Raw genomic sequence first — 7,370 nt, forward strand, 5'->3', positions numbered from 1 at the left:
TTGTATGTGACTTAAAAAAAGTGTGTGTATTATGCAGTTAGGTAGTTAAAACGTATTCAATCAAATCATAATATGAAAAATAATTCTGATTATAATCAATTTTGTTTCATTATATCTCACAAAATGTTTGCTATTTTCTGTCTCCTACTTAAAAAAGTAAAATTTAATACAACTGGACCAATTACTTTTTAGCAGTATGATCATGTCCAGCAAATTTAATTGAGCCACTTTTGAATTTGTATTTATTATTCTGATTTAATTATTTCTAGAGACCCAAATACTACAGCTAAACAAAGGACTACTCATATGTTTCCTGAAGAAATAGCATAGCTTTCATTTATGACTTACAACTTCAACTACATTAAATTGCACTATTACAACATAGTTATATGCAATATATGGATTAATTCTTATGTTTATTGTTAATCTGGATGAATTGATTATGTTAGCTCTTAATTGTGTTGATCATGATAATTTTTAATTATCTTTGAAGATGCATTCTGTTATTTAATTTGAATGGTTTTTATTGTATAAATGTACACAAACATCTTTATTTAAATTTTTTAATTAAGACACATTTCTCAAGAAAAATATCTGATTTGGTTGACTGATTTTTAAGGTGGCTGGTCTGTTATTAAATGATGTGATAAATATTTTGAATATAATTTAACCTAATTCTGCAGCTCCAATGTTTTAACAAATAGATGTTTTCCAGCATATGTTGAATAATATTGTTTTTTTGAGACAGAGTCTCGCTCTGTCACCCAGACTGGAGGGCAGTGGTGCAATCTCGGCTCACTGCAAGCTCCGCCTCCTGGGTTCACGCCATTCTCCTGCCTCAGCCTCCCGAGTAGCTGGGACTACAGGCGCCTGCCACCACGCCTGGCTATTTTTTTTGTATTTTTAGTAGAGGCAGGGTTTCACCACGTTAGCCAGGATGGTCTCGATCTCCTGACCTCGTGATCCACCTGCCTCGGATTAGAGGCGTAAGCCACCATGCCCGGCCATGTTGAATAACATTTTTTAAACCCCTAAATTTAAAAATAACAGGTCATCTAAGAAATGTTGATTAAAAACTTTTTGTATGCTTGCCAGAAATTTCAAAAATGAGGGTCTCTAATGCCTAGGTAACAAATCCTTTGGTAAATCACGTTTTTTCTAATTCGGCACTTCCAACAAAATTGGAGGAAGACCTAAGAGAATTGTCAACTGATATATTGCTAAAAACACATTTATTATTGATCAATGTTAGTCTTTTATGGCATATAACTCAAAATAATTTCAAAGAATTGAATGACATTGTCATAAAGCTCTTTCTGTTCTTCTCTCAACACAAGATTTCTCAGAATTATAAACTGAAAAAATTTAAAATAAATTAAATAAAAGCAATTCTAACCTGCTTCATTCTGACAAAATGTAACATTCACCTACAGATACATTGCTCCCTGCCATTTAAAAAAAAAAAAATGCTTTCATTTGCCAAACACCTGCCTCCTAGAGTGTTTGAGCCAGAAACTGAAGAAGTAAAGGGCACACTCACCTCTGGAGAGCTGCAGTATCCCTGACCAATCGCCCTCACTGACCTAGACACAGGCTTCTGCTATGAGCCCACTGCTGTGCTTTGGACTCCATTCCCTGGGAGAGAGACACAGACCCCTCCCAACCATCCCTGTCCCTGCATAGAGGTACATGTTTGACTTTTGAAGGGTAAAGTGACCATATGCCGTCATTTGGGTCTGAGTTTAGGTCTGTGGCTCAGTGCAACTATTAATAATGTCCCCTTTTACTCTCAAGGTTTTGATGATATATGAAAGGGTCAACCTACTAATGAGAAGACTCACAGATCTCAGACATCTAGGATAGAAATACTGGCTGTGATGGACATACACTGAGCAATGTGATGATCTAAGTCTCCCTTGACATTTAAGAACCTTTAGAGTGTAATGCTTTCACTTTGTCTCTCTCCTTCAATCTCACTCTTGCTCAGCATGTATTAAGCACCTACCATATACAAGGTTCTGCTCAGCTCTAATGAAATAGAGATAATAAAATCAGAGTTATCTTCAAGGAGCCCAGTTTAAGGGCATGTTTCCAAGCCTCTCTAGCTGCTCCCTCTTGCCTCCCTACCTCCCAAACATACCTTTTCTAGGCACATACTACACAAAAGATCCATGCTCTTATATTTTCCTTCAACTTTGTCTTTCTCATTCCCCACCTCACTGATTTTAGTCTGTTAATATCTCAGCCTTACATGGAATCCAGAAGATCTGGCCTGGTTATCTACTCATTTGAAACTAGCAGGCAGCTTCAATTCCCCAATCATCTTTGGTAGAATGGAAATAATCACATGATGTTTAATACTGAGTATCTAGGAGCCAAGATGGCCGAATAGGAACAGCTCCGGTCTACAGCTCCCAGCGTGAGTGACGCAGAAGACGGGTGATTTCTGCATTTCCATCTGAGGTACCGGGTTCATCTCACTAGGGAGTGCCAGACAGTGGGCGCAGGTCCGTGGGTGCATGCACCGTGTGCGAGCTGAAGCAGGGCGAGGCATTGCCTCACTCCGGAAGCGCAGGGGGTCAGGGAGTTCCCTTTCCTAGTCAAAGAAAGGGGTGACAGACGGCACCTGGAAAATCAGGTCACTCCCACCTGAATAATGCGCTTCTCCCACGGGCTTAAAAAACGGGGCACCACGAGATTATATCCCGCACCTGGCTCAGAGGGTCCTACGCCCACGGAGTCTCGCTGATTGCTAGCACAGCAGTCTGAGATCAAACTGCAAGGTGGCAGTGAGGCTGGGGGAGGGGCGCCCACCATTGCCCAGGCTTGCTTAGGTAAACAAAGCAGCCAGGAAGCTCCAACTGGGTGGAGCCCACCACAGCTCAAGGAGGCCTGCCTGCCTCTGCAGGCTCCACCTCTGGGGGCAGGGCACAGACAAACAAAAAGACAGCAGTAACCTCTGCAGACTTAAATGCCCCTGTCTGACAGCTTTGAAGAGAGCAGTGGTTCTCCCAGCACACAGCTGGAGATCTGAGAACAGGCAGACTGCCTCCTCAAGTGGGTCCCTGACCCCTGACCCCCGAGCAGCCTAACTGGGAGGCACCCCCCAGCAGGGGCACACTGACACCTCACACGGCAGGGTACTCCAACAGACCTGCAGCTGAGGGTCCTCTCTGTTAGAAGGAAAACTAACAAACAGAAAGGACATCCTCACCAAAAACCCATCTGTACATCACCATCATCAAAGACCAAAAGTAGATAAAACCACAAAGATGGGGAAAAAACAGAACAGAAAAACTGGAAACTCTAAAAAGCAGAGCACCTCTCCTCCTCCAAAGGAAGGCAGTTCCTCACCAGCAATGGAAAAAAGCTGGACGGAGAATGACTTTGACGAGCTGAGAGAAGATGGCTTCAGATGATCAAATTACTCTGAGCTACAGGAGGACATTCAAACCAAAGGCAAAGAAGTTGAAAACTTTGAAAAAAATTTAGAAGAATGTATAACTAGAATAACCAATACAGAGAAGTGCTTAAAGGAGCTGATGGAGCTGAAAACCAAGGCTCGAGAACTACGTGAAGAATGCAGAAGCCTCAGGAGCTGACGCGATCAACTGGAAGAAAGGGTATCAGCGATGGAAGATGAAATGAATGAAATGAAGCGACAAGGGAAGTTTAGAGAAAAAAGAATAAAAAGAAATGAGCAAAGCCTCCAAGAAATATGGGACTATGTGAAAAGACCAAATCTACATCTGACTGGTGTACCTGAAAGTGATGGGGAGAATGGAACCTAGTTGGAAAACACTCTGCAGGATATTATCCAGGAGAACTTCCCCAATCTAACAAGGCAGGCCAACGTTCAGATTCAGGAAATACAGAGAACGCCACAAAGATATTCCTCGAGAAGAGCAACTCCAAGACACATAATTGTCAGATTCACCAAAGTTGAAATGAAGGAAAAAATGTTAAGGGCAGCCAGAGAGAAAGGTTGGGTAACCCACAAAGGGAAGCCCATCAGACTAACAGCTGATCTCTTGGCAGAAACTCTACAAGGCAGAAGAGAGGGGGGGCCAATATTCAACATTCTTAAAGAAAAGAATTTTCAACCCAGAATTTCATATCCAGCCAAACTAAGCTTCATAAGTGAAGGAGAAATAAAATACTTTACAGACAAGACAATGCTGAGAGATTTTGTCACCACCAGGCCTGCCCTAAAAGAGCTCCTGAAGGAAGCACTAAACATGGAAAGGAACAACCAGTACCAGCTGCTGCAAAATCATGCCAAAATTTAAAGACCATCAAGGCTAGGAAGAAACTGCATCAACTAACGAGCAAAATAACCAGCTAACATCATAATGACAGGATCAAATTCACACATAACAATATTAACTTTAAATGTAAATGGACTAAATGCCCCAATTAAAAGACACAGACTGGCAAATTGGATAAAGAGTCAAGACCCATCAGTGTGCTGTATTCAGGAAACCCATCTCACGTGCAGAGACACACATAGGCTCAAAATAAAAGGATGGAGGAAGATCTACCAAGCAAATGGAAAACAAAAAAAAGGCAGGCATTGCAATCCTAGTCTCTGATAAAACAGACTTTGAACCAACAAAGATCAAAAGAGACAAAGAAGGCCATTACATAATGGTAAAGGGATCAATTCAACAAGAAGAGCTAACTATCCTAAATATATATGCACCCAATACAGGAGCACCCAGATTCATAAAGCAAGTCCTGAGTGACCTACAAAGAGACTTAGACTCCCACACATTAATAATGGGAGACTTTAACACCCCACTGTCAACATTAGACAGATCAATGAGACAGAAAGTCAACAAGGATACCCAGGAATTGAACTCCGCTCTGCACCAAGCGGACCTAATAGACATCTACAGAACTCTCCACCCCAAATCAACAGAATATACATTTTTTCAGCACCACACCACAACTATTCCAAAATTGACCACATACTTGGAAGTAAAGCTCTCCTCAGCAAATGTCAAAGAACACAAATTATAACAAACTATCTCTCAGACCACAGTGCAATCAAACTAGAACTCAGGATTAAGAATCTCACTCAAAACTGCTCAACTACATGGAAACTGAACAACCTGCTCCTGAATGACTACTGGGTACATAACGAAATGAAGGCAGAAATAAAGATGTTCTTTGAAACCAACGAGAACAAAGACACAACATACCAGAATCTCTGGGACGCATTCAAAGCAGTGTGTAGAGGGAAATTTATAGCACTAAATGCCCACAAGAGAAAGCAGGAAAGATCCAAAATTGACACCCTAACATCACAATTAAAAGAACTAGAAAAGCAAGAGCAAACACATTCAAAAGCTAGCAGAAGGCAAGAAATAACTAAAATCAGACCAGAACTGACGGAAATAGAGACACAAAAAACCCTTCAAAAAATTAATGAATCCAGGAGCTAGTTTTTTGAAAGGATCAACAAAATAGATAGACCGCTAGCAAGACTAATAAAGAAAAAAAGAGAGAAGAATCAAATAGACGCAATAAAAAATGATAAAGGGGATATCACCACCAATCCCACAGAAATACAAACTACCATCAGAGAATACTACAAACACCTCTACGCAAATAAACTAGAAAATCTAGAAGAAATGGATAAATTCCTCAAAATACATACTCTCCCAAGACTAAACCAGGAAGAAGTTGAATCTCTGAATAGATGAATAACAGGCTCTGAAATTATGGCAATAATCAATAGCTTACCAACCAAAAGGAGTCCAGGACCAGATGGATTCACAGCTGAATTCTACCAGAGCTACAAGGAGGAACTGGTACCATTCCTTCTGAAACTATTCCAATCAATAGAAAAAGAGGGAATCCTCCCTAACTCATTTTATGAGGCCAGCATCATTCTGATACCAAAGCCAGGCAGAGACACAACAAAAAAAGAGAATTTTAGACCAATATCCTTGATGAACATTGATGCAAAAATCCTCAATAAAATACTGACAAAACGAATCCAGCAGCACATCAGAAAGCTTATCCACCACGATCAAGTGGGCTTCATCCCTGGGATGCAAGGCTGGTTCAATATATGCAAATCAATAAATGTAATCCAGCATATAAACAGAGCCAAAGACAAAAACCACATGATTATCTCAATAGATGCAGAAAAAGCCTTTGACAAAATTCAACAACCCTTCATGCTAAAAACTCTCAATAAATTAGGTATTGATGGGACGTATTTCAAAATAATAAGAGCTATCTATGACAAACCCACAGCCAATATCATACTGAATGGGCAAAAACTGGAAGCATTCCCTTTGAAAACTGGCACAAGACAGGGATGCCCTCTCTCACCACTCCTATTCAACATAGTGTTGGAAGTTCTGGCCAGGGCAATTAGGCAGGAGAAGGAAATAAAGGGTATTCAATTAGGAAAAGAGGAAGTCAAATTGTCCCTGTTTGCAGACGACATGATTGTATATCTAGAAAACCCCATTGTCTGAGCCCAAAATCTCCTTAAGCTGATAAGCAACTTCAGCAACGTCTCAGCATACAAAATCAATGTACAAAAATCACAGGCATTCTTATACACCAACAACAGACAAACAGAGAGCCAAATCATGAGTGAACTTCCATTCACAATTGCTTCAAAGAGAATACCTAGGAATCCAACTTACAAGAGATGTAAGGACCTCTTCAAGGAGAACTACAAACCACTGCTCAATGAAATAAAAGAGGATACAAAGAAATGGAAGAACATTCCATGCTCATGGGTAGGAAGAATCAATATCGTGAAAATGGCCATACTGCCCAAGTAATTTATAGATTCAATGACATCCCCATCAAGCTACAAATGACTTTCTTCACAGAATTGGAAAAAAACTGCTTTAAAGTTCATATGGAACCAAAAAAGAGCCCGCATCACCAAATCAATCCTAAGCCAAAAGAACAAAGTTGGAGGCATCACTCTACCTGACTTCAAACTATACTACAAGGCTACAGTAACCAAAACAGCATGGTACTGGTACCAAAACAGAGATATAGATCAATGGAACAGAACAGAGCCCTCAGAAATAATGCCGCATATCTACAACTATCTGATCTTTGACAAACCTGAGAAAAAAAAGCAATGGGGAAAGGATTTCCTATTTAATAAATGGTGCTGGGAAAACTGGCTAGCCATATGTAGAAAGCTGAAACTGGATCCCTTCCTTACACCTTACACAAAAATCAATTCAAGATGGATTAAAGACTTAAACGTTAGACCTAAAACCATAAAAGCCCTAGAAGAAAACCTAGGTATTACCATTCAGGACATAGGCATGGGCAAGGACTTCATGTCCAAAACACCAAAAGCAATGGCAACAAAAGCCAAAATT

General features: G+C 40.3%; 2 annotated features.

Moving 5' to 3' along the window:
• Positions 2,033-2,638: an enhancer, noted in NCBI's record as "H3K27ac-H3K4me1 hESC enhancer chr8:132647081-132647686 (GRCh37/hg19 assembly coordinates)". NCBI's record gives its function as "activates a minimal SCP1, AML or CMV promoter by ChIP-STARR-seq in primed H9 embryonic stem cells {active_cell/tissue: H9 hESC(primed)}" and the evidence as "EXISTENCE:reporter gene assay evidence [ECO:0000049][PMID:30033119]".
• Positions 2,639-3,243: an enhancer, noted in NCBI's record as "H3K27ac-H3K4me1 hESC enhancer chr8:132647687-132648291 (GRCh37/hg19 assembly coordinates)". NCBI's record gives its function as "activates a minimal SCP1, AML or CMV promoter by ChIP-STARR-seq in naive and primed H9 embryonic stem cells {active_cell/tissue: H9 hESC(naive and primed)}" and the evidence as "EXISTENCE:reporter gene assay evidence [ECO:0000049][PMID:30033119]".

Source organism: Homo sapiens, chromosome 8 (genome assembly GCF_000001405.40).
Source record: "Homo sapiens chromosome 8, GRCh38.p14 Primary Assembly".
Taxonomy (NCBI): Eukaryota; Metazoa; Chordata; class Mammalia; order Primates; family Hominidae; genus Homo; species Homo sapiens.